Raw genomic sequence first — 27,244 nt, forward strand, 5'->3', positions numbered from 1 at the left:
GAGCTGTTTTATGCATAATGGACCCAAACTTGAAACAACCCAAATGTCCGTCAATGTAAAATGGATAAATTATAGAATGTTCTATGGTAAACTATTGCACAGAATGAGAAGGAAAGAACTTTGATACATGCCTCAATGTGGTTGAATCTCACAGAGTTGAAAGACATGAGACTCAAAAGAGCACATATTTAGATGAATTAAAAAGAGGAATAGTTAATTGAGGTGACAGAGGCCAGAATAGTGGTTACCTTTGGGGGAAGCTAACTGGGAGGCACACCAGGGAGCCTCCTGAGCTGCTAGAAATGTTCTAAGGTTAATCTGAGCTGTAGTTACAGGGGTGTGTACAGATGCAAAAGTTCATCAGGCTGTTCCCTTAAGCTCTGTGTACTTCACAGGACATAACATATCTCAGTTTAAAAGAAAAAGTAGGCCAGGCGTGGTGGCTCACACCTGTAATCCCAACACTTTGGGAGGCTGAGGTGGGTGGATCACCTGAGGTCAAGAGTTCAAGACCAGCCTGGCCAACATGGTAAAACCCCATCTCTACTAAAAATACAAAAATTAGGCGTGTCATCCCAGCTACTTGGGAGGCTGAGGCAGTAGAATCGCTTGAACCTGGGAGGTGGAGGTTGCAGTGAGCCGAGATCGCGCCATTGCACTCCAGCCTGGGGGACAAGAGTGAGACTTTGTCTCGAAAAATAAAATAAATAAATAAATAAAATAAAATGTAAAACCCTATCACAATGATATGGCCAGATTACCACCCCTCTCCCTGGGAACTGCCAGGGTACCACAAGTCTTATGTTTTTCTTTTACACAAAGAACTCTCTACCACCCACCACTTGGTCAATTTTACCTCCAAGAGGTATTGGCAAAATGCAGTCAGCCCTTTAATATCTGCCCGACAGAGATAGGGTAAAATACACCTCTTTATAATTAAAGTTGTAACTTCTTTGTTATCCCCAGGATCTCAGGTTTAGCCCTTCAGCACCTGAAGAGTTTATCTCTCACCTGCTGACTCCTCTGCTGCTTTTTCTTCCATTTTGATTCCATTTGCACAGTTGCTTCAACTTTGGGCAGTGCTCTGTTTCAGAACAGATGCCTACATCTTCTATCGACAAACAAATCAATAGTCTTCAGGGCAGAAGGTCAAAAAAACAATTCTGCCTTATTGCGCCTTTCTGTCTCCCAGTGATTTCTGTCTGCTGGTGTGCTTGGCAGGAGGCACCTTCTCCTGAGCTGGGCAGTCCAGGCAAGCAGCACAGGTGCCCTCTGTGTGTGCCCTGCCCTTGGTGACAGTCTAGTCAGTGTGGACGCTGGAGGCTGGCTGCAGGAGGGGCTGGCAGTGGGCGGTTAGAGAAGGCAGACTTGGGAGATGAGGCCCAGGCAGTCATCCCAGAGCATCAGCACTGGCCCCCCTTCCACCCCTTGCAAAGTCATCAGCAAATGGGGCAGAGCTCAGAGAAGAGCAACACAGGTGATTAAAGAGCTGGTGGTGCTGATTTGTGAGTGAAGATAAAAAGGACTCAATCTGCATAGGTTAACGTAATGAGAATGGAATTTCAGGGAAGTTCTGATCACCGCCTGGAGTGTTAAGGACAGCACATACATCAGGGAGGGAGGGGGCCTGACAATGGCTTGGAGAAAAGGTGTGAAAGCCTGTGATTGCCATGGTTACCATCCTTGACAGGTGACACCCCCACTGTCTCTGCTAGGAAATGAAACAAAACACAGGCCTGCTTTCTGGGTGTGGGCATGTTGTCACTGATGTCCATTCACACACATCCAATCTGTTCCTTAGCTCATTCATTCTGAAAATAATACTTGGATGCCCACTCCGTGCTGGGTACCATGCTAGACACAGAGAATCTAGGCGGGACTGAACAAGACAAAAAGGGTTTTTGTCCACAGGAAAGCTGTATCCTAGCAGAGAGAGAGAGAGAGAGCAAGAAACAAGAAACCCAAAAATAAATGAGGCTGCTTCAAAGAGCTGAGAGAGCCATGAAAACAGTATGGAATCTCAGGGTGGGGATGCATGGATCTCTACATAGGGTGGCCTGGGAAACCTGTCTGAAGAGAGTAGGGGCCAGCCAAGTAAACACATCGGGCAAGTGTCCCAGGAGAGGGAACTGCACGTGCAAAGCCTGGGGAAGCAGAACTGTTTGGCCTGTCCTAGGGAGAGAAAGGAGGGACAGTGGCATGGTTGGGATGGGCAGTGCGGTGCAGGATGAGGATAAAGAGGCACCCAGGAGCTGGCTCATGACATCACTCCTATACCAAGGGAAGAAAACCAAGCACAGATACTCCAAGAGCAGCAGATGATAAAGAGATATTATATGTCATTTTAAGTATGACTTGTGCTGTTTTCTTGCAGAGCTATACCCCCTTATTATATTTTCTCACCCCAATATTAAAATTAATTTGCATTCCCTTAGCACATACCAGCTGGTTAATGTAGTCAGTTGACCTAGAGGTCTGTTGATTGGCAAGAAGGCAGCCTAGACTGGAAAATTGGCCATGCATCATCTACATGGTAGATAAATGACACGTAGCAATTGAAAGCTGAGTTTTAGATGAGATGAATCAGAATGGAGCAAAACCAACGCAGGAGCTTGGAACCCTGGGATCCTTTGGTCCTCCTAAAATGCCATGGTCTCTGCGAATCAGAAATAACAGGTTTATGGTCCTGCTCACTTGTAGATAGCCCTGGGTAGAAGAGAGAGAAAGGAAAAAATATATATGCCATTTATTCACCAAGAGCTACAAAACATATTGATTGATGCCACTTCCTGAGGGGTGGCGGAGCTGGTTCAAACACTCTCTCTATGGCCTGGTGAATTCCGTGACCTTTAGGTTAAACAGCCTCCGTACTTTCCGTGAAACCCTCCCTTCTTGCCTCATTAGAAGACGAGGAGAAAAATCCCTAAATGATCTCAAGTCCGCTTCCCACATCTCATCTCAAAAATGCTCACAGAGCACATCACTGCTCCGTGATATGTACCCTCCCGAAGGCATGTCTGTGTTCCCAGTCTCTCTGACTCCATCTCTTGGTAGTCCCCTCTTCAGCTTGCGTTTCTCCTGAGGGTGCCCCACTTAGCAGGACAGGTGCGTGCACTTAGATTCATGAAGCAGAGTTGCTTTATGTCTGTCTCCCCCAGTTCTCCATGAGCTCCCTGGGGGCATAAATCAGGCCCTTCCTGAAGACTCCAGGGTCCCATGGAGGCAGTGACACCACAGTGGGGTCATAGGGCATTCACGGGACTCAGCCTCAGGCCTGCTGCCCGCCTGTCTGTAGACTGGCCCCACCTTCCCTGTTCACAGCCCTGCCCCTCTATTTTCCTTCCAGGGATGACTGCGATCCCGTGTGCTTGTCTGGGTATCTTCCTGGGAGGTCTTTTGGTGAAGAAGCTCAGCCTGTCTGCCCTGGGGGCCATTCGGATGGCCATGCTCGTCAACCTGGTGTCCACTGCTTGCTACGTCTCCTTCCTCTTCCTGGGCTGCGACACTGGCCCTGTGGCTGGGGTTACTGTTCCCTATGGAAACAGGTGAGTACTGGCAGTGTCTGCCGCCTTCCTGCCTGTTCAGGGACCCTAGCAATCTCCCTCTGCAGTAGGTTGAGGGAACCAGCTTTGTTCCTAGTGACCTGAGGAGACGCATCACGGCTGCCTCTGCATCTTACTGTCCACGTTGGAGAATCAGTAGAACCCTCTGGGCTGAGAAAGCAGACCTTTCCACTCAAAGGCTGGGAAGCACTGGGGGAGAAGAGAAGCCGTTTCCTCCCTGGCAGACTCACATCGCGATTTTTGGCATTTGACTTTAGGAAAAATGTGAAGAGAGAAAATAAAAATTTTAATTCAAAATTCAGCTCAAAATAAAAGACAGAATTGATTTGATTTCAACAATTCCTTAAACTATCAGAAGCTGTCATTAGGCTCACATGGCAATTACAGGATCTGGCCCATGGCAGGTGTTCTTAAGTGTAGCGAGGGAAAGGGGGAGAAAAAGGGAGGGAGGAAGAGAAGGAAGTTAGTTCTCATAGGACCACTTTTCTTTCTTCCTAGTTTTTATCCCAAGACTTGGGACTAGAGTCCAGTGAGAATTGCCCTTAGAGGGAATTATGGGGAGTCTTCAGCTATCCAGTATCAATAGCTGTCCCCTTTTCCACATGGGACTGAGGCTGCCTTGGAAATCCAGCCTGGAGCATCGAGGCTGAAGCATGGCTGGCCTGCAGGTTACCAGTTTCTCTCTCTAGAGCCAGACTCTTCCTCCAAGCAGACCACGAGGCCTGCTCCTGCGCTTGTGCCGGAAGATGCAGTGGAGCCAGGGCTTCTCTGCCACCCACAAGGGTGAGCAGGCAGAGTGGGAGAGCAGAACAGAGGCAGCTTTCTGTATGTCTGTGTACAATCCAGGCACCATGTGCCCCTCCTTCCCCTTTACACCATCACGGGGTTGCCCCTTCCAATCCCCGCCCCAGCCTGGCCCCGACTTCGTGTTCAGATATGTCTTCTTCCCGTTTGCACCTGCTATGCATAACAGCTGTCTCAAGTAGCAGACTGCTCAACTCCCAAGGAGTAAAGGGTAGTGGTTAGGAGCACAAGGTCTTACTATAATGACGTTATTCTTCCATGAAAAAGAAAAGAAAAGTGTATATCCTACATCACACAGCCCTAGTTCCAGCGCCTCCTCTACCATTTATGACTTCTGTACTTTTGGACAAGTCACTTAACCTGGCTGTGCCTCGGTTTCTTCTCTAAAGCCCATGGGGTTATAATGAGAATAAATGAAATAATCCATGCAGTACTTTGAATAGTGCATGACGCATAAATTGCCGGGTGTCGCCATCGTCACCTTTATTATTATGAAGTGCTCTGAGCCTTAGGAGACATAGCTGAAAATGATCAGAGTAAAGAAGAGACATTTCCTCTCTTATAGAGCTAATACACTCACTCTACCCTTTTGTTCTTTTTTCAGTTTGCTTGCTCTAGATAACTTTGCCTTTAATGATGCAAAGGAAAATTAAAACACCTTAGTGTTATTTTTCTCAGGACATTGAATCAATTAGACAATAATTATTGAAGTCAGTCTGGTTGAAGCAGTGTAGTAAGTAAGCATCATGAGGCTTCCTGACTGTAGGGGAGGAATAAAGCAAAGAGACAAGAACCAGCCCAAAGAGGGAAGAAGTTAAATCCTCAGTGGTGCAGGCATAGCAGTGTTCAGGACAGGGGGATAAGCTGAGGCCTTAGCAATCAGGAGAGGCATCGTGGAGGGGGTGGCCCTGAGCAGTCCCAACTGCCACCAGCCCAGAGGGCACATCAATACCAGTGATAAAAAGCATCTTCCTCCTCGCTTCATGAGAGGGGCTGGAGTGGACTCAGCTCCCACCCAGCCCACCACCCAAGCTGGCATCATTGGCCAGGGCACAACCCACGTAGCTCTCAGCAGTGGCCCTGGGCTGCTCCTTGCTGGACAGGATAGGCTAAGGTTGGTAAAGGAAAAGGGAAGGGAGAACCAGGTAACAATCCCATAAGCAGGGTACCACGCGACTCATCACAACAGAGGCAAAAGGCTGTCACTGGGGGCATCTGATTCCGAATTGACCTGTTTCTAATGGCTTCCGTGTTTCCTTTCTTTTCCAGCACAGCACCTGGCTCAGCCCTGGACCCCTACTCGCCCTGCAATAATAACTGTGAATGCCAAACCGATTCCTTCACTCCAGTGTGTGGGGCAGATGGCATCACCTACCTGTCTGCCTGCTTTGCTGGCTGCAACAGCACGGTAATGGGATGGGGCAGGGGATGGGGCAGGGGATTCAGGCAGCTAAAGTGGCTTAAAACCCAAGTTTTTGCCCAGGTTGTTCGCCTTCCCTGTGACTTTTTCTTAGCTGTTGCCTTGCTGTAGTGGAAGATGTTCCATCAGCAGGATGAGAGGACTGATTCAGGTCTTCTTGCTAAATCAAGTGGGTTTGTAGGAAGTCTCATTGTGCAACTGAAAGTAAAAATTCAAAGGAAGCTGTATATATGGAACCAAAGGAAAAGATGGTGGTTCAAGGTACTTGCAGTGTCAATGAAATAGGATGTCTGCATGGGTAGTGAGCTCCCCATCACCAGAAGTATGTCAAGAGAGGCTTAAAAACCATTTATCAGGAAAGACTTCTTCCAGACCTGAAACACTCTGACACCAATTCAGCTTCTTTCCTACCCAGTTTGCTTTGCCATTTTCCTCCTAACTAAATGCCTCCCACCTCTTTCCATGTTCCTGACACATTTTTGGGAGGAGGTGGGTTGCTTTTTCCTGCTTAGCGTGGATTTTACAATTGGCTGTCAGCCCACAGCTTTCCACGCTCTCTCCCTGAAAACCTGATGCTAAGTGACGGGTCATCCATTGGTGCTGATCCCACCTTCCAGGAGTCCTTGGCACCTGCCCTGTGGAGGCCCCGCCCCCATCTCTTGCTTGGACCCGAGCAGTAGGTCCTACCTGGCCTCCCAGGATGGCCCCTTATGTCCTTCGTTTTCTTCAACACTGCAGTCAGAAGGGTTTCTGTAACATAGCAAATGACCCTTTCTCATGCTACTCTGTCAACTAGAAGATCAGTTCTAGGTGCCACGTGTCTTCAGCTCTACCTCCTTTCAGTTTGTGGTGTTCAGCTTCCCCCATACAACCTGTCTTTTCATACACCTCCCTCCAGCTGGACAGGTCCTACTCACCGGTCAGTAGCCTCCTCCAATGTCCCCTCCTCTGAAACCATCCCTTCCCTTTTTATCTTTGGGGTTTTTCTCCCTGAAGTCCTTCGGTGCCTCTTTCTCCTAAAGACATTGTTCTCACTTTATTACGATGATTTGCTAGAAGTGTCTGTCATCTGCTCTGGTCTTTGGATTTCTTAAGCAAGGGCCAGCACCCAGAAGTACTCCATGAATGTCTGTGCAAGGCATAGTGGGAAGGAAAATATGAACCCCCAGTGGCAGCTTTCAAGGGACTTAGAGTTGAGATCATTAGCTGCTGCTTCTTCCTACATCTTATATCTTTCAGGAGCAGCAATTTCTCTGAAAGAAGAAAAATGGATCATTTATTTTCATTTTCAAAGATTTCATTTTTCCTTGTGTTTAGCATTTAGATTCCTGGCCAGTTATTAACATTTTCTTTAGAGAAAATAAATCACCATGGGGGGTGGGTGGGAGAAACTGATTTTTTAAAATTAGATGATAAAGCAATTTCTTTATGTGAGTGGAAATAAATTTTAAAAGAAGGGATGGGCCTTGAGAATGGTTCAAATAAAAACACAAGCCATTATTTTTCATGACAACAATTTCATTAACATTTTAATATCCAGAAAGTTACATTATAAATCAGTCTCGGTTATTGTCCTGTTATAAGAATTAAATTGACTCAGTATAGTCTAGTGTCCTGAGACCAAATGAGTCTCTATTCCAGGGAATGCACTGACCAAAAAAATTATCTTAAAAATTGCATTTCCCCTGATCTTGCATGTACAGGAGTCTTATTGAATAAGAGCCTTACCAGGCCCATCTGTGGCTGCATCCCACTGCTGAAACAGCGAAGCTGGAGAATGCAGTTATCAGACTGTAAGCTTCTCTGCTTACCTCTGGACCTACTGTTTGTCCCCCAGACACCTGCCTTTTATTCAGGTTACTCGAGGCCTCACATTGTCTGCTGGGGTGTAGGTGAGGCAAGGAGGATATTCTCATGCAATTGCAATGCAGAGACAGAGAAACCACCAGGCCCCAGAGCTGGGGTGAGGCATACAGTGCCTTCCCTGCAGAGGCAGATCTCTAGATGCCCTGGCTTCCAACAAGTGGATGAGGGATTTGGAGACCCAGAGCAATGCTTATCCTGGAAAGGGACCCTTGTGACAGTCTAGCCTTAAAAACAACCACAACCATAAAACTTGCAGCAGCAGCAGCAGGCTTTGTCGAGAGCCTATTAAGGTCCAGGTAATGGGGCCTTCCGTGTGTCACTCGTGACCCATGGCAGCTTGGCCCAGAGTCAGAGAAATCTCAGGCCAACATCCAAAAATGAGTGAAAAGCAATTTAAATCCTTTAAATCTCTGCTGCAGTATTTTGGGAAAATGCCAAATGGTGGCTATATTCCTGGTATGTGTACTCCCTCCCTCGCCCCCTTTTTTCTCCACTCTTCTTGTCTCCAAGTTCGGGGCAAAAAAAAAAAAAAAAAAAAAAAACTCTTTGACAAGCTAAAACCTTTCACCTCCTCCTTTTCACAGTGATCCCCTGGAATTCTCCACCTTCCCCAATGTGAGTTCAGCCATTTTCCCTGGTTTCATCAATTCTTCCACCCACGGCCTCAACCCTGTGTATATTATCTCATTGATCCTCCCAGCACCCTTGGGAAATAGGTGTTCTTCTTATTTCCTGAATACAGATGAGGTTAGTCACTTGCCCAAGGCCATGCAATAGGAAGTGGGGGATCTGGCTTTTGAATGTAGGGTCTGTCCAATGTCGAGTACACATGGACACCAAGAAAGGAAAAATAGTGTCTCCCTCTGTACCTCCCCTAAGAGGTCCACCTTTTTTCTACCTCTTCAAACATGCACTTCTCATTCGAGACATTTATTTGGCCTTTACCATCTGGCCCTGGCTGCCTCTCCAGCCTCAACCTCCCTATTCCTCCCACCTCTTTTTTTTTTTTTTTTTTGAGACAGGGTCTCGCTCTGTCACCCAGGCTGGAGTGCAATGGCACAACCTCGGCTCACTGCAACCTCTGCCTCCCGGGTTCAAGTGATTCTCCTGCCTCAGCCTCCCAAGTAGCTGGGATTATAGGCAAACACCACCACACCCAGCTAATTTTTTATATTTTTGGTAGAGACGGGGTTTTTCACCGTGACGGCCAGGCTGGTCTTGAACTCCTGACCTCAAGTGATCCACCCGTCTCGGCCTCCCAAAGTGCTGGGATTACAAGGCCTCTCACCTCTTAAAGAGCCACTTGGTAAGTGGAACTTGCAGTTCCCCAACACATCAAGCTCTCCCTGCCCCTGGGCCTTTGCACGTGTTGTTTCTCTTATCTGCAGCAGTCTCTCCCTTCTAAGCTCTGTCTTATCTCTCAGGGCTGTCTCTCCTTCACCACTGCTGAGAAGCCTTCTCCAGCTCATTGCTTCCTCCAGGGCTGTGTTAGTGCCCTTCCTGCAAACCCCTATTGCCCCTGCTCTTGCCTAGCAAGGCTCTCACCTCACCTGTTCTAATGGCTCATTTACTCTGGCACCTCCCTCATTAAGCTGCAGGGACAGGGGCTCTGTTATGGAACCTTGCATTCTCACTGTCAGCCATGGCTCTGGATAAAGGCTCCAGGCTTTCTCAACACCCAGCTGGAGGCCCTGTACTGACCTCAGAGAGCCCCAGGGATCCAGGGGTAATACCATTCTCTTGTTTAGCAGTTGGCAAGTGGGTAGGTTGGATGGTGCCAGTTTCAGTACTAAAGACCTGATCCTTGCTCGCCACTCACCACTTTATCGTTTCCATCAAGACGTGAAAATTCCCCATAACTCAATTAGATGTAAATAAGTCACTGATCAAATAATTCTGATTATAGGGAAATCTGATTAGTGTTAGTGGTTTCCTGATATTAAACTTTTCTTCCTGCTCTGGATTGGATTTTTTTTTTTTATTTTCTTATATCTCCTTGAGTGATAGCAATGGAAGTTTCCAGGCCTGCATTTAATGTACGACTTCTAATTCTTCTCACTGCATATGACCAGGAAGGGTGACCAAAAAAAAATTGAGTTAATTCTGTAAATTTCCTTTGGCGTGAATATATGGTCCAGATTGTTTCTGTACCTTTCACTTTCAGAAGTAATTATTCCAACAGAAGCATGTTAGTATGCTGTGGACTGATGGCTGTAAGTTGTATCCTTTTGATGTACTAAATAATTGAATAGAAAAAAAAAAAAACTTCCATCAGCCACCAATAGAATGTTGAAAGTCAGTATGAGTCCAGCACTGCAGTTTGTAGGGTACTGATGATAGATGACTAATTCATCCCCCCCATTCCAGGCAACAAATATTTATTGAGCACCTGTTTCAGTGAAATGCCAAGTAGGTTCTGTGGCGGGGAGGAGGACAGCTCCATTATGGGCCCAGGCAGGCAGCTCATGGTTCAGTGTGACGGGTCTCAATACAGGCCGCACCTTAGGATCACGTGGGAGCTTTTAAAACATGAGGCCCCACTCTCAGAGATTCTGATTCCCTTATTTTGGAGTAAGATCCATGCATCAGTATTTTTTTAACCTCCTCAAGTGTTTTTGATTTGTAACCAGGATGGAGAACCGCTGTTCTAATACAGGGCTTCTCAGTCACGGCACTGTTGACATTTTGGGCCAGATAATGGATTGTCATGAGGCGCTGCCCTATGCACTGTGTTTTTACCAGCATCCCTGGGCTCTCCCCACCAGATGCCACCCCTGCCCTCCCCAGCCACAAGTTCCGACAACTGTAAATGTCTCCAGACATTGCCACATGTCCCTCGGGGGATATCATCACCCCCAGTGAAGAACCACCGCTGTCATAGAAGGGATGAGGCATGTTCTATAAATTGTGTCTTTCTTGAAAAAGGTCAGCATCTAAGCTGACACTGAGTATTCATCATTCAGTCTCTTTTTTCTTCTCACCATGACCATATTTGCCCACTATAAAAACCAACTGGAGAGTTAGATATGCCATATAGCAGGGGTCCCCCACATCTAGCACCAGTGCCAGTCTGCGGTACTGGTACTGTTGGGAACTGGGCCGCACAGCAGGAGGCGAGTGGCAGGTGAGCAAAGCTTTATCTGTATTTATAGCCGCTCCCCATCGCTCACATTACTGCCTGAGCTCTGCCTCCTGTCAGATCAGCAGTGGCATTGGATTCTTACAGGAGCATGAACTTACTGTGAACTGCGCACGCGAGGGATCTAGGGTGCGTGTGCCTTAGGGGAATCTAATGCCCGATGATCTGTCATTGTCTCCCATCATCCCTAGATGGGACCGTCTAGTTACAGGAAAACAAGCTCAGGGCTCCCACTGATTCTACTTTATGGTGAATTGTATAATTACATTTCATTATATAATACAATGTAATAATAGAAATAAAGCGCATGATAAATGTGATGTGCTTGAATCATCCTGAAACTATCCCCCAAACCCCACTGGTCAGTGGAATAATTGTCTTCCACGAAACTGGTCCTTGGTACCAAAAAGGTTGGGGACCTCTGCCATAAAGCATGTTGCAGCACAGGAAACAAACAGCGTGTCTGCCCTGAAGATATATTTAATGTGGCCTGAGCCAAAGTTTAACTGGGCCTCCCTGAAAAAGTTGGAAGATAGCTATCATGGGACCTGCACCCCAGTAGGGCAGTGGTTGGCTGGAACTGAGAAGCGCTGGCCTTTTGGGCAGGACATTTGCTGTCTACTTAGACACAGCCCCCACCACTGGCCATCCCTTACACCTGAGCCATTTTTTAAGTGTATGTTTCCTGTCTGGTTCCAAAGGCTTACGGTTTGCAGCCCTCCTCATATAGCCTGGCCCTGTCTGCCAGAGCTGATTTAAAAGTCTGTACTTATCCTGGTAATGGCTTGTCAGAAGGGACTTGTGACTATTCTGAAATCAAACCCTACTGGGGCATCGCCACCTGGGACACCTGATATATCTCAGGCCCTCTGCTAGGCATTGTAAGTGTAGAGATGAATAAGGAAAGGAGCTCATGTTTACTATAAAATGAGATGTCATATTATTAATAGAGGTATGTCCAAGGGAGCACCCAAAGCAACACCTAACCTTACCTTACAATATAGTTAAGTGAAAAGAACACATTGTAAAATAATACATAGACAATAATCCCTTTTGATAAAGAAACATCTAAATATATGCATATCTTTGCATAAAAAATATTGGAAGAACATATAGCCATCCATTCGTAGATGGATACTTCAGGTTAGGGGCCAAAAAACTAAATTTTGCTTATTTGTTTCCAGTTTTTGTGTATATTTCAAAAATATCTAAAATGATTATCACTTTTCCAATGAGGAACAGATTTTTTTAATTTAAAAAATCCAACATTAAAGGTTAGGTGGTTAGGTTAGGTTCTAAAAGAGGGAAGCAGCTGTGTAGACAAATCAGTGAACTTGCAGTATCAGGCCTGCTGGGGTAGAAATTGGTTCTGGGTGGGGCAGGGGTGGAAGGAGGGAGTGGGCATGTTCTCCGCTGGGGGATGGGGTGAATGAGACCCCCATCTCTGAAAAGATGTAAAAAAAATTAGCAGGGCAGGTGGCTCACTTGAGCCCAGGAGTTGGAGGGGGAGACGTGGCAAGGGCCAGGCTTTCATCATGAAGGGTAGTGGGTGTTTGGTAGCCAGGCATGGAAGGACATTCTAGCCGGAAGAGTGCACAGGCTGAGGTGTGACAATTTGGACCTCATGATGCAGGCAGGTTTGGAGTTGGAAGAGAGAAAGCTGGAGGGAGAGATGGAGGGGCCCTGTGTTCCTTCAGAGTTGCAGTCATGCCTTTCACCTTTCCGTGATCTCCCCACTGTGTCCTATGTTAGATAGCTGGAGCAGAGTGAGCCTTTCTGCTCCCCAAATAAAAACCCCCTTCCTCCCCTCAGCAGGAGATAATTAAGATCTAACAGGACGTGCTCAGGCTCACGCGCCACAGGTTACCGGGGTGCAAGGTGGAAGGAGGTCTTGCTTTCATCTCAGAATTTTTCTCCCTGGCCATTATTCTTCAGCCAGTGACCCCACAAGGGAAGAAGAGATCGTATTTCTTCTTGCAGTTTTTCAGTGTCCCCTTTGCCTTGATCTTGCAGGTTGCCATTGGCGCCCTTTGTGATGAGATCTGAGGGTTATGTCTGGAAATACCAGCTTTGGTTGAACCAATGAAGTGAAGAGATGCTAAGCTACAAAAAGACAGTAATAAATGACAGGAGACTGTCTGAGGAACGTCAGTGAATTATGAGAAAATCCATAAGTGTCTGGGACTCAGAGAAGTATGTTGCCATTCAAAGGAAAACACCCCACTTTATTGTGGTGGTGTCCCACGTTCTTTGATATCTCAGCTATTAGAACATCAGGTGCAAAAGATCAAAGATCTCACAGGCAAAAGCAGGAAGAGCATGGCCTGTGGTGGTACTCCCCGGTAAACTCCCTTTATGAACATTTCTAGAAACTGCCAGAGCCAGGCATGGTGGCATGCCTCTGTAATCCCATCTACTCAGGAGCTGAGGAGGGGAGGAGCACTTGAGGCCCCAAACTTGAGACCAGCTTGGGCAACATAGTGAGACCCCTATCTCTGAAAAGATAAAAAATGAGGCAGGCAGGTGGCTTACTTGAGCCCAGGAGTTTGAGACTGCAGTAAGCTATGATCATGCCACTGCACTGCAAACTAAGACCTCATCTCTGAAAAAAGGAAAGAGAAAAGAAATTTTCATGTATCTCTGCTAACTGCTTTCAAGGAGGAAAAGCAAAAACAGTATTCCAGGGGCGATCCTCTACCTTTCAAGTTTCCATAGAAGGCTCGTAATACAAATATCCCCATACAATCCTCTTAGAAAAATAATCTTTCCACCTTGAACTTCGCTTCCTTTGTACAATTAATAGGGATCGATCATCAGGATTGGATGTGGGGGGAAAATAACAGGCAGAAAACAACTTTATTTGCCAGTATTTTTGAAACACTGCTGAGCAGTATCTTGTTCTTGTAATACCGGCTGTCAAAATAGCATGCCGACTGCTTCCTTCATCAATAGAAAACAAATGCAAGATTCCAGAGAGTCATTTTTCTATTTTTGTGGTCTCTAGCCTTCTTGTAATTATTTATTCTCATCATTGTATGTGAATAGAAACATTTCTCAATTGAAATTAATGACTGAAGGTGGAACAGAAATACAGTTTTCAGTGATGTGCTATTCTTTCATTGATTTCTTTATTTTATAACATTTTCCATTTTGAATACATTTATATGATTCAAAAGCCAAAAAGTATAAAAAGGAGGATATGAGGGACTCTCCCTTTCACCTGTGTCCGCTATTTACTTCTTCCTCAACCTGCCAAATAGATGATTGCTGTCCTTGGTTTCTTGTACATCCTTCTGGATTTTTTACTGCACATAAAAGGCCCTATTCTGTACCTCACTATTTTGTTTGGCTTTTTCAGTTAATAGTTTACCTGGGAGTTATTTCTAAATTAGTACATAAGGGATGTTCTTCTACCTTTTTATGGCTATATAGTATTCCATCGCGTGGACCAAGTAGTCTGTCTTTTTTTTTTTTTTTTAATTATACTTTAAGTTTTAGGGTACATGTGCACATTATGCAGGTTAGTTACATATGTATACATGTGCCATGCTGGTGCGCTGCACCCACTAACTCGTCATCTAGCATTAGGTATATCTCCCAATGCTATCCCTCCCCCGTCCCCCCACCCCACAGCAGTCCCCAGAGTGTGATGTTCCCCTTCCTGTGTCCATGTGATCTCATTGTTCAATTCCCACCTATGAGTGAGAATATGCTGTGTTTGGTTTTTTGTTCTTGTGATAGTTTACTGAGAATGATGATTTCCAATTTCATCCATGTCCCTACAAAGGACATGAACTCATCATTTTTTATGGCTGCATAGTATTCCATGGTGTATATGTGCCACATTTTCTTAATCCAGTCTATCATTGTTGGACATTTGGGTTGGTTCCAAGTCTTTGCTATTGTGAATAATGCTGCAATAAACATACGTGTGCATGTGTCTTTATAGCAGCATGATTTATAGTCCTTTGGGTATATACCCAGTAATGGGATGGCTGGGTCAAATGGTATTTCTAGTTCTAGATCCCTGAGGAATTGCCACACTGACTTCCACAATGGTTGAACTAGTTCACAGTCCCACCAACTGTGTAAAAGTGTTCCTATTTCTCCACATCCTCTCCAGCACCTGTTGTGTCCTCACTTTTTAATGATTGCCATTCTAACTGGTGTGAGATGGTATCTCATTGTGGTTTTGATTTGCATTTCTCTGATGGCCAGTGATGATGAGCATTTTTTCATGTGTTTTTTGGCTGCATAAATGTCTTCTTTTGAGAAGTGTCTGTTCATGTCCTTCGCCCACTTTTTGACGGGGTTGTTTGTTTTTTTCTTGTAAATTTGTTTGAGTTCATTGTAGATTCTGGATATTAGCCCTTTGTCAGATGAGTAGGTTGCGAAAATTTTCTCCCATTTTGTAGGTTGCCTTTTCACTCTGATGGTAGTTTCTTTTGCTGTGCAGAAGCTCTTTAGTTTAATTAGATCCCATTTGTCAATTTTGTCTTTTGTTGCCATTGCTTTTGGTGTTTTGGACATGAAGTCCTTGCCCATGCCTATGTCCTGAATGGTAATGCCTAGGTTTTCTTCTAGGGTTTTTATGGTGTTAGGTCTAATGTTTAAGTCTTTAATCCATCTTGAATTGATTTTTGTGTAAGGTGTAAGGAAGGGATCCAGTTTCAGCTTTCTACATATGGCTAGCCAGTTTTCCCAGCACCATTTATTAAATAGGGAATCCTTTCCCCATTGCTTGTTTTTCTCAGGTTTGTCAAAGATCAGATAGTTGTAGATATGTGGCGTTATTTCTGAGGGCTCTGTTCTGTTCCATTGATCTATATCTCTGTTTTGGTACCAGTACCATGCTGTTTTGGTTACTGTAGCCTTGTAGTATAGTTTGAAGTCAGGTAGTGTGATGCCTCCAGCTTTGTTCTTTTGGCTTAGGATTGCCTTGGCGATGGGGGCTCTTTTTTGGTTCCATCTGAACTTTAAAGTAGTTTTTTCCAATTCTGTGAAGAAAGTCATTGGTAGCTTGATGGGGATGGCATTGAATCTATAAATTACCTTGGGCAGTATGGCCATTTTCACGATATTGATTCTTCCTACCCATGAGCATGGAATGTTCTTCCATTTGTTTGTATCCTCTTTTATTTCCTTGAGCAGTGGTTTGTAGTTCTCCTTGAAGAGGTCCTTCACATCCCTTGTAAGTTGGATTCCTAGGTATTTTATTCTCTTTGAAGCAATTGTGAATGGGAGTTCACTCATGATTTGGCTCTCTGTTTGTCTGTTGTTGGTGTATAAGAATGCTTGTGATTTTTGCCCATTGATTTTGTATCCTGAGACTTTGCTGAAGTTGCTTATCAGCTTAAGGAGATTTTGGGCTGAGACAATGGGGTTTTCTAGATATACAATCATGTCGTCTGCAAACAGGGACAATTTGACTTCCTCTTTTCCTAATTGAATACCCTTTATTTCCTTCTCCTGCCTAATTGCCCTGGCCAGAACTTCCAACACTATGTTGAATAGGAGTGGTGAGAGAGGGCATCCCTGTCTTGTGCCAGTTTTCAAAGGGCATGCTTCCAGTTTTTGCCCATTCAGTATGATATTGGCTGTGGGTTTGTCATAGATAGCTCTTATTATTTTGAAATATGTCCCATCAATACCTGATTTATTGAGAGTTTTTAGCATGAAGGGTTGTTGAATTTTGTCAAAGGCTTTTTCTGCATCTATTGAGATAATCATGTGGTTTTTGTCTTTGGCTCTGTTTATATGCTGGATTACATTTATTGATTTGCGTATATTGAACCAGCCTTGCATCCCAGGGATGAAGCCCACTTGATCATGGTGGATAAGCTTTTTGATGTGCTGCTGGATTCGTTTTGCCAGTATTTTATTGAGGATTTTGGCATCAATGTTCATCAAGGATATTGGTCTAAAATTTTCTTTTTTGGTTGTGTCTCTGCCCAGCTTTGGTGTCAGAATGATGCTGGCCTCATAAAATGAGTTAGGGAGGATTCCCTCTTTTTCTATTGATTGGAATAGTTTCAGAAGGAATGGTACCAGTTCCTCCTTGTACCTCTGGTAGAATTCGGCTGTGAATCCATCTGGTTCTGGACTCTTTTTGGTTGGTAAACTACTGATTATTGCCACAATTTCAGCTCCTGTTATTGGTCTATTCCGAGATTCAACTTCTTCCTGGTTTAGTCTCAGGAGAGTGTATGTGTCGAGGAATTTATCCATTTCTTCTAGATTTTCTAGTTTATTTGCACAGAGGTGTTTGTAGTATTCTCTGATGGTAGTTTGTATTTCTGGGGGATCGGTGGTGATATCCCCTTTATCATTTTTTATTGTGTCTATTTGATTCTTCTCTCTTTTTTTCTTTATTAGTCTTGCTAGCGGTCTATCAATTTTGTTGATCCTTTCAAAAAACCAGCTCCTGGATTCATTAATTTTTTGAAGGGTTTTTTTGTGTCTCTATTTCCTTCAGTTCTGCTCTGATTTTAGTTATTTCTTGCCTTCTGCTAGCTTTTGAATGTGTTTGCTCTTGCTTTTCTGGTTCTTTTAATTGTGATGTTAGGGTGTCAATTTTGGATCTTTCCTGCTTTCTCTTGTGGGCATTTAGTGCTATAAATTTCCCTCTACACACTGCTTTGAATGCGTCCCAGAGATTCTGGTATGTTGTGTCTTTGTTCTCGTTGGTTTCAAAGAACATCTTTATTTCTGCCTTCATTTCGTTATGTATCCAGTAGTCATTCAGGAGCAGGTTGTTCAGTTTCCATGTAGTTGAGCGGTTTTGAGTGAGATTCTTAATCCTGAGTTCTAGTTTGATTGCACTGTGGTCTGAGAGATAGTTTGTTATAATCTCTGTTCTTTTACATTTGCTGAGGAGAGCTTTACTTCCAAGTATGTGGTCAATTTTGGAATAGGTGTGGTGTGGTGCTGAAAAAAACGTATATTCTGTTGATTTGGGGTGGAGAGTTCTGTAGATGTCTATTAGGTCCGCTTGGTGCAGAGCTGAGTTCAATTCCTGGGTATCCTTGTTGACTTTCTGTCTCGTTGATCAGTCTAATGTTGACAGTGGGGTGTTACAAGTCTCCCATTATTAATGTGTGGGAGTCTAATTCTCTTTGTAGGTCACTCAGGACTTGCTTTATGAAACTGGGGGCTCCTGTATTGGGTGCATATATATTTAGGATAGTTAGCTCTTCTTGTTGAATTGATCCCTTTACCATTATGTAATGGCCTTCTTTGTCTCTTTTGATCATTGTTGGTTTAAAGTCTGTTTTATCAGAGACTAAGATTGCAACCTCTGCCTTTTTTTGTTTTCCATTTGCTTGGTAGATCTTCCTCCATCCTTTTATTTTGAGCCTATGTGCAAGTAGTCTATCTTTAACCAGTCTCTTATCAATGAGCATCCAGACTGCTGCAAAACTTGAGCTCTGACCAACCACATTGTGACTCATATTGTATATATGTCCTTTTATGCCTGGGCAGGTCTGTCTGTTGGATATGTTCTCGTAGAACGGACAAGCCTGTTCCCCCTGTCCTCCGGGTCAACAAACTTGTCAGGTCTGTTCTGGGAGCTCAGTGGCCACCTTATTATTAATATGAAGTGTCATGGTACATTTTATTGACAGTAAAGCTAGATCCCGCCACCCCCCAAGTTTGGATGCCAAGCAGAGAATTCACCTCTCGCAGAGGCAGCAGGGACTGCATTTCTTCCCAGAGAATGGCAAACCAGGAAGACACTGCTTTGCCTTTGAAATAGGGATTGAAAATGGGGTCATTTGCCAATTCTGCAATCATAAACTAATCTGAAATCTGGTATGCTTTCTTACTAGTTAATTGTCTTAGGGACAGCCAGAGAAAGCATTAGGGGACATATCACTTCATTCAGACCATGGGAGTCTACAGGTCAGTTCCAAGATACACCTGCTTTTTGGATTGGCCAAATAGAACTATGCTATTGGGGTTTGGGGTGAGAATTAGGATCCCAGCCTTTATCATCCCCTTAAATTAGACTGCTGTCTCACATCCAGCTTTTCAAACTTTTTATAGCTCAAAGCATTTGCAGATCTAGGGCTTCCCATGTAGGTGCCCAGTTACTGCCAGCTGAAGGGGTATCCCCTACTTCCCCTTTTCCCTTCACATCAAAGTTGAAAACCCCATTTTTGGAAATCATCTCTCTGCACTCTGGGAAAGGTGAAACTACCTAAGTCCTCATCTGCAGTTCTTCCTACCACACTCGGACATCTGAGTGGAAGATCCCTCCTTAACAGCCTCACGACCTTATGCACCCATCTCCCTTAGCACAACGTTGGACAAATCTGGGCTCTTATGTCACACAAGCCCAGTAAAGGAGCTTCCTACCCCTTGCCATCTGACCACAACTGCAGCATTTTCCCTTGGATCCCCTGCTGGAGAGGTTGCAGGGCTGCCCCAGCCTGCTCCCCATGTGTGGGACCACCCAGCCCATCCTGGTGGATTGACTCATTGGATGGAAAAGGAAACCCATCCAAGTCCTTGCACAGATCACTCTGGCATCTCCTACCCAGCCTCTCTCACAGCTATGAATAAATTAAATCTGAATAAATAAATACAGATTTGCCTAGAACCTTTAGGAGAGATCCATCCATTTCCAGCTTTTCCTCTTGGACACCAACAAACAGACATTTTCATTGGTCTTGTGCCGGTCTCTGGCTTTTCTTCTTCTGTCATTAACCCTAAATCATCCCATTCCTGTCTATTCAGCATGGGGCTACCTTGGCCCATTTTGGCTGCTATATCAAAACACTTTAAAGTGCATGGCTTATAAACAACACATTTATCGCAGCTCTGGAGGCTGGGAAGTCCAATATTAAACTGCTGATGGATCTGACATCTGATGAAGGCCTGCTTCCTTTTCATAGATGGCACCCTCTAGCTGTGTCTTCATGTGGTGGGAGGGGCAAGGCAGTTCTCTGGGGCCTCTTCTGTAAGGACACTAATCCCATTCATGAGTCCTCTACCCTCGTGACCTAATCACCTCCTGAAGAACCCCCACCTTGTAATAGTATCACATTGGTGATTATTTTTCAACATATGGATTCTTGGGTCAAGGGACACCGAACATTCAAACCACGCACTGCTACCCTTTGTTTCGGCTGCAAATCCTGTGGCAGCTTAACCCTGCTGTCTGCTCGCCTCATTAACATGAACATAGACAAGGACACATTTAGCTCACCCGGATGGGGCTGTGCAGGCACCGTGCCAGCTGTAGCCTGAGATAAAGATGTCTCATTTTATCCCATTCCATGAGTGCCATGATCAGAGGATCCATTTCAGGAGGGATTTAACACTTTTTAGGGCAGAGAGAGGCCAGTTTCCTCTTTTATGGTAAATATAATATAATCGAGCCATAGCCTAGGTATGGGCAAAAATAAGACCAAGACACAGGCAGCAATTGCAGATGACTTGTTAAACCAAAGAAAGCTCACCGATCACATGGCTCATTCAGAGGGTTCTGGCGTCAGTCACTCAACTCCAGTGCCCATATCACATTCCTGAGAGACTGCGTGCTACAAGTATGTAGCCTCTCAGGAACACTCAGGAATGTGATATGGGGGTACTGGAATTGAGGGATTCCTGGGGTACTTAGCCAAACAAGACCACAGCCACCCACAAGGGGCCCATTTTTCATTTACGCCTAACTACTCTTTGAGTCCATATGGTTCTAAGAACTTCAGTCCCAAATCTTTTTCCTCACAGACCACTGCAGTAATCAAAGATGGATGGTTGCAAGTAGTTTGAACTAGGGCAGGGTTTGAGACAGATTTAGGACATGGCAAAATGAACAGAACTTAGGTGTTCACTCAGTCAACATACATATATATATTATATAATATATATAATATATATATTATATAATATATATAATATATATATTATATATATATAATATATATAATATATATATAATATATATAATATATATAAATATATATATATATTATATATATGTATATAAAATCCCACTTGTGAGCCAAGCCCTGTCCTGGATGGCTGGGTAAATTAGGGAATACGGCCACAGTGGTCTCTGTCTTCATTAGCTTTAGTGTCAGGGGGAAGATGGATTTGATGTAGGTATGTGAGCGGGGGATTCAGAATTACCTCCTGGTTTTTGTTAAGTTGGTGCAAAATTGTGGTTTTTGTCATTACTTTTATAGTCAATAGGGTGCCGTTACTAAGGCAAGAGGTGGAGGGAAAGGAGTTTGGAGCTGGAGCTGGGGCTGGGGCTGCGTAACTGTCAGGAAAACAGTGTTTTGAAGTAAGAGGAAGAAGCAAAGCAGCATTTCCTCACTAGACGCCCCTGGCACAGGTGGGTGAGTCAGAGCTCAGGGGAACATCCCAGGAAGCTGTGCGGCATGGCTGCTCAGGAGATCTGATGGGCACTCTGCGATGTGGGGAGCCACGTGGCCTGCAGCAGCCAGGTCACCAGAGGTGGGCATGGCGCCTCCACTGGTCAGCAGGGTAGGCAGAAAAGAAGGCGGCGCCAAGTCGGGAGTGCTGGGACAGGTCGGCGCCTTCCGGGCGCGTCTGTGTGTCCGTCCTTATGCCTGACCGTGTGACCTTCTGGGAGAAATGGCCTCAGCTTCCCTTTGTAGAAGAGGAATACATAATTTTCTCTTTACCCTTCACAGTTCCCAGTTGGGACAGACCCCTGTAACCTAAGACAGATTAACAGGAGGAAAACAAAGGTTTAGAAACACATATACATGATGTATACACAGGAGATAGCCAGAGAAATGAGAGCATCTCAGAGACGTGGCTTTGACTTCAGGCTTGAATACCATGGTCCAGGGAAACAGAGAAAGAAGGGTGTGGGGAAGGCCAGTTATGAGGAGATGCCCAGATAAAGCACCTTAAAAAAGAGTAACATTTGTTATGCAAGCTTAAGTCAGTGTCTTCTAGATTGATGATAGTCTCTAGGGATTCAGTCATTCCTTTATCTCTGGTACAGAGAGGAACCACCCTTACAAATGGAGATTTCCTTTGTAAATGTAATTTTCCTTACGCAACGGTAACTTCTGTTGTCAGAGGTTCTGCCTGTGTCTGTGGTTTCTCAAAATAATCAGCTCAAAATATTCTTTATGCAAAAGGGGCATACCGCAAGGTGGCATATGCTGGTGTCCTACAACTCCTGCCTTCTGAGTCTCTCCCAGGTTTCCTTCTTGTCCAGCTCCCGTCCTTGCAGGAAAGCGAATTCGGGGGAGATACTTTCCAGCCTTAGGCGGGACAGTAGTGCCAAGCTGAAAGCACAGAAGCCAGCACCGGCACTCGTTCCTGGAGGCAGTTTTGATGCCTCACCCGTGCTCATGAGTCTTGGGAAGGATCTGGGCTAAAGATGATTAAATTTGGGAGAGATGTGATCAAATGCAGAGATGGTAAAATGAAGGAAGGAGAGCTGGGGCAAGAGTACAGATGAAGAAAGTCCAGAGCAGGTGGGAAAGAGGAGAAGGTACCAGCAACAAAGATGGAAAGCGAGTGACCAGAGGAGGACCAGGGAAACAGGTAGAGTGGAGCTTTGAAGCCAAACAAGGGAGTGATGAGTAGTGAGCAAGGGGCCTGTGCTCCTGGGAGCTCCGGGGAGAGAAAAATGCATGGTGGGCCTGGGATATGGAGCCCACTGAAGAGCTTAGCCCCACCGGATTCATGCGTGTGGAAACAGAAGCCAGTCAGAGTCAGCTGAGAGCGTGGGAGAAAAGGAAATGCAGGTGGTGAGCTAAATAGCTAGAAAAGTTTGGCTGTGATGCTGGGGAGGAGTGGGCAGTTTCCTCTCCTGGGAAGAGGAGGAGTGGCATTTTAAGTGAAAGTTGGGGAGAAGTCTTGCTTCCTAATAAAAGTGAGGAAGGTTCGTTCTCATGTGTATTCTAAAGCTGTATGCTTAGTTTCATCTACGTCTCAGCTCTGCGCTAGGAAAAGATGCTAGGGAAAGAATGCAAAAGACATAGGTCTTGTCCCGAGGTTCTTGTCTCCTCCAGGAGGCATGTAAAGGTCTCTGCTGTAGGGTGGAGCGACCCTTGAAAAGGGCCCTGCAGGACTTGGAAGGAGGCTGGGATGTGCCCAGTGAGGTGAGGTTCTGAGAAGGGAGGCAGTATCTGAGCTGGGTTTTGACAAAGAGCTAAAAAGTCTCTAGGCAGAGGTACATGAGAAGGAACAGAGGGGCGGGGCCTCGGGATCTTCTGGGAATTACAATAAATGCCCCTGGGTACCCTAACTGAACCATTTTCACAAAGGCACCTGCTCTGGGCAGACACTGAGGGGAAGGGTGGAGCCCCAGCGTACGTCTGCCCCCATTCCTTCCCCCATGAATAAAAGCCCCTGTTGGGGGCACAGCGATACAGACTGACCCTGTTGGGTTTGGGGCACATGAACACTTTCAGACACCCCTGAAACCATCCCATATAGCTTAGTGGGATCAGAAAACCCTATCTCTGTGTTCTGTGGGGAGAGGGGGAGGACCAGAGGAGGAGAACTGTAAAAGCCAGAGGGGATTTATTTGACCCTCAGGAGGATTTACCTGGGCATGTGCTCTGAAAGCCAAGCAGTCCTGGAAGGAAAAGCAATGAATCATTTATGATTGTTTTCACTTTGTATTCATTAAAGGCCTCTGCACTATTATTATGGAACCTTAATTGGCTTGGCACCGGGCACTGCCTCTCCCAGCCCCTGCTCCTCCCTTTGCCATCAGAAATTCCTGGAGTGAGTGGGGGAGAGGACCCTGTCTGCAACAGGCAGCTGGGCTAGAATCCACCCCGAAGATCAAATGAAATGCAGTCACTTTTCTTTCTTCTCTCTGATCATATATTAATAAATGTATCTATCTTGTTGGGTTTTAGCTCTGCTCCCCACGAGCTGCTCCAAGCTCCTGCATCTCTTAGCCCCCTTTGCTTCCTCAGCCTCCAGAGAACTTTCCATCAGCTGTCCCTCGCCCAGCCTTGCAGACGCGGTGACTTCACGCGTGACAGCGTGCAGCCTTTGTTCCAAGTGCCGTGTTGGGCACTCCACCAGCAACAATATGCGGGTTACCTGATTTACTTCTTTTAATACACTTCAGTGTAATTATAACTGCATAAAAGAGAGGACAAATTGGCAAGTAATTACAATGTTAATTTGGCAACGTTTTATCATATTGTGGAAGCGCAATTTCCTCTCTAATTGTATTGGGGGGGACACATTTATCTGTGGTTCAGCTTACTGAGGGATTCTTGAGAATGGAAATGAAACACACAAGAGACAGAGAAATCAGCTCTCCTCCCCGTAAATATTCCTTTATTTATGTGTGTTTTGCAGCCTCCTTAAAAAAGCTAACTAACTCGTTTATTCAGGCCTAATTAATGGAATGCCACAGAATGTGTAATTAGGCTGTGACAGATTCAGCTGATGGATGGCTTTGCCTTTGGAAACCGGAAGTACCCCCAGATAAAAGGGCTGAACGCTTCCCTTTCAGAATCTCACGGGCTGTGCGTGCCTCACCACCGTCCCTGCTGAGAACGCAACCGTGGTTCCTGGAAAATGCCCCAGTCCTGGGTGCCAAGAGGCCTTCCTCACTTTCCTCTGTGTGATGTGTATCTGCAGCCTGATCGGTGCCATGGCACAGACACCCTCAGTCATCATCCTCATCAGGTAAGCCCTCGGCACAGCCCCGCCTCTCCTCCTTTCCACCTGGTGTTCATCTGCAGGCCTCCTAGGGACCAGAGCTTCAGACAACAGGAATCTCTCGAACCAGGTGAGCTAGGGCCACAGCAAGGAGCGCAGCTTCTCTAGGCTGATAGGAATCAATTATGTTTGATAGGGACCTCCCACCAAGAGAAGAAGGCAGGGCATGGGGGAGAAGACAGCACTTTCATGTTCTCCCAGAAATAGAGCCTGCAGGCAGTTTTGAAAAGGATCCTGCATTGAGCCTTACAGGACGCAGCCTCGTTGGAGGAAAATGAAAGTGGCGTCAGTGCCCAGCCCCCACCACCCTGCCACTGCTTAGCCATATGACCGTGGGCATTTTCCCCCTAGACTTGCTCCTGAATCTGTAACTGGGGGTGATATGACCCATCCTGCCTGCCTCCTGCAGTGGAGCAGGACCCACTGAGACCATGTGTGTGCAAACACATAGAGACTTGACGGGTTATTGTGCAGCAGGGCTCACGGCAGGTGAGCAGTGACCATTCTTGTACAAAGAGGTTGCTGGAGAGAGCCAACCGAAATTCTATTGTTACCTGTCTCTGGGGACCTGTCCTGGGGATAGGTGAAGTGCCTCAAAGAAAGATGAGCCATTAGTAATATTCTGAGTAACTTTTATCATTTGCAGAGTTACCTAGATTTGTGTTGGAAACCCAGAAGTGAACTAACACATAGGCTGCCATTCATCTGAATCAGGGGAAGGTACTCTACACAAAGACTCATCAGCTGGGCATGGTGGCTCATGCCTGTAATCCCAGCACTTTGGGAGGCCAAGGCTGGAGGATCGCTTGAGCCCAGGGGTTTGAGACCAGCCTAGCCAACATGGAGAAACCTCTTCTCTACAAAAAGTAGCAGGGCGTGTTGGCACATGCTTGTAATCCCAGCCACTTGGGAGGCTGAGGCAGGAGAATTGCTTAGACCCAGGAGGCGGAAGTTGCAGTGAGCTGAGGTCATACCACCGCACTCCAGCCTGGGTGACTGACAGAGCAAGACTCTGTCTCAGAGGGGAGAAAAGACAGACTTGCCTAATTGGGATGCAGTTATCCAAGTGAACAGATTCAATAGCAAAGGCTGGAAATAAAAGTAGGAATGAAACGCATGGAAGTACCCAGTGTCCATGCACCTCACCTCTACTTTATCCAGCTTCTCTCTCACTTTGCCAACCACATTTCCTCATCTTTATTATGAATTCCCAAGGAAGAGGATTTTTACAAGTACTAATGTTACCTAGAACGTCATTAGCAAGGCCTTGCGAATGTGCAGAGCATTAGGGTATAATAGCAAATTACCATTTTATACTTACTAAGTTTGAAAAATAAATTTTAAAAATTGACACCCAGTGCTTGCAAGGCTGTGGCAAAACTGACAAAATCACAAATTGCTGGTGGCATGGGAAAAGGCTATCACTCCTTTCAAAAAAGCAATATGACAGTGTGCGTCAAGAGCCATACAAATATTCAGACCCTTTTATTCAGTAACCCTACCCCTTGCCATTTATCTTAAAAAAGTACTCCTTTACAAGAAGAAAAAAAGAAAGAGCTCAATGCAGACAAATTTTTATTACAACGTTAACTATAATAGCAGAAAAACCTGAATTGGAATAGTGAGTTAAATTATGGCACTGCAGCTCCATGGAATAATGAAAATTCTTAAGAATGTGAAAGTGTTTATGAAATGAACTATTGAATTTAAAACTATTTAGAGAAGATGATTATAATATGCATTTGGACAAAACCCATCAGATCTCATGTATAGGTTTTAGGTGGCTGCCTTATGAGTAGTTTATTTTTCATTATTAGACGTTTTCGTGAAGTTATATTGTGATATTCATACACTAAAGGCATTGGAGAAGCATGAAAAATGACTAGTCTCTTATTAGCTTGCCCCACGACTCCTCTGCAAAAACCCAGCCTCTAGACGCTGACTAGTGGTGACTACCAAACATGGAAAGTTTGTTGAAATTCTTAATCACTTCCAGATCTCAGCTTGATAAACAGCTCTTGGAGCTTTGCTGGAAATATTTGATTCCCTCTAAATTAATCAGCCACAGATGGCCTAAATGACCTAGGCTTGTAACTCCACGCTGTGCTGGAAGCGCATGCTATGCATTGTGCATATTGAGAGGTCCAAGACACAGTTTTATTCCATCACCTTCCTAGTCTGATTTGCCATCACAGATGTCTCAGGCTGGCACAGGGGCACAGATGTGCACCAGCCCTTGCCCCTCCCAGAAGAATGGACCCACTGTCATGCCAAACAGGACCATCCCAACAACAGTGCTCAGAACATCTGGAAGCGAGGTTGAAAGCTGATGCCCAGCCCCTCTTAGGCCCCACGCTGGGCTCCGAGAGAAATTAGGCAGTGTTCTCAAGGTCACCCAGCTAGTACCTTTAGAACTAAGACTCCCTCCCAGCGTTGTCCAGAGCTTTCAATAGTGTTCACACGGAGCCCTCCCCGTTTCTTCATGACTCAAGCCAAGAAGGATTCTTCTTCTCATAGGAAGCAATTTCCCAACAGGATATGAAGGGAGATCTTAGCACCTTGCTCACTTTGTTCCTAGTGACATATGATAGCTGAAAGGAAATCAAATTTCAGGTGATAAATATTCTAACTCATTATACCAGTGTGCTTTCTTGATAAGGAGAATTTGTCTCTATTTATGTGTCTGTCTTTCAAGTCAGTGCTTTCAAATGAAAGTGCAAAAACCGGAGACATGGAGCTGATAATAGCTTTGAAGAACTTGGATTT

The 27,244-nt window shown here is 45.2% G+C and overlaps 1 protein-coding gene across 3 annotated transcripts in view, besides 2 other annotated features; it reads left to right on the forward strand.

Moving 5' to 3' along the window:
* Nucleotides 1–27,244, forward strand: part of SLCO3A1 (solute carrier organic anion transporter family member 3A1) — a 318,728-nt gene that overhangs the window by 269,007 nt on the left and 22,477 nt on the right. For all 3 annotated transcript variants that reach the window (NR_135775.2, NM_001145044.1, NM_013272.4), the window contains exons 6-8: nt 3,347–3,545; nt 5,637–5,775; nt 24,270–24,445. Coding sequence is in view for 2 of the 3 variants with exons in the window: in NM_001145044.1 (NP_001138516.1) it covers nt 3,347–3,545; nt 5,637–5,775; nt 24,270–24,445 (514 nt within the window). In the remaining variant the exon portion in view is untranslated. The remainder of the gene's footprint in view (nt 1–3,346; nt 3,546–5,636; nt 5,776–24,269; nt 24,446–27,244) is intronic.
* Nucleotides 1,621–2,611: an enhancer, noted in NCBI's record as "OCT4-NANOG-H3K27ac-H3K4me1 hESC enhancer chr15:92667565-92668555 (GRCh37/hg19 assembly coordinates)". NCBI's record gives its function as "activates a minimal SCP1, AML or CMV promoter by ChIP-STARR-seq in naive and primed H9 embryonic stem cells {active_cell/tissue: H9 hESC(naive and primed)}" and the evidence as "EXISTENCE:reporter gene assay evidence [ECO:0000049][PMID:30033119]".
* Nucleotides 24,157–25,060: an enhancer, noted in NCBI's record as "H3K4me1 hESC enhancer chr15:92690101-92691004 (GRCh37/hg19 assembly coordinates)". NCBI's record gives its function as "activates a minimal SCP1, AML or CMV promoter by ChIP-STARR-seq in primed H9 embryonic stem cells {active_cell/tissue: H9 hESC(primed)}" and the evidence as "EXISTENCE:reporter gene assay evidence [ECO:0000049][PMID:30033119]".

This window comes from Homo sapiens, chromosome 15, assembly GCF_000001405.40.
Source record: "Homo sapiens chromosome 15, GRCh38.p14 Primary Assembly".
NCBI lineage: Eukaryota > Metazoa > Chordata > Mammalia > Primates > Hominidae > Homo > Homo sapiens.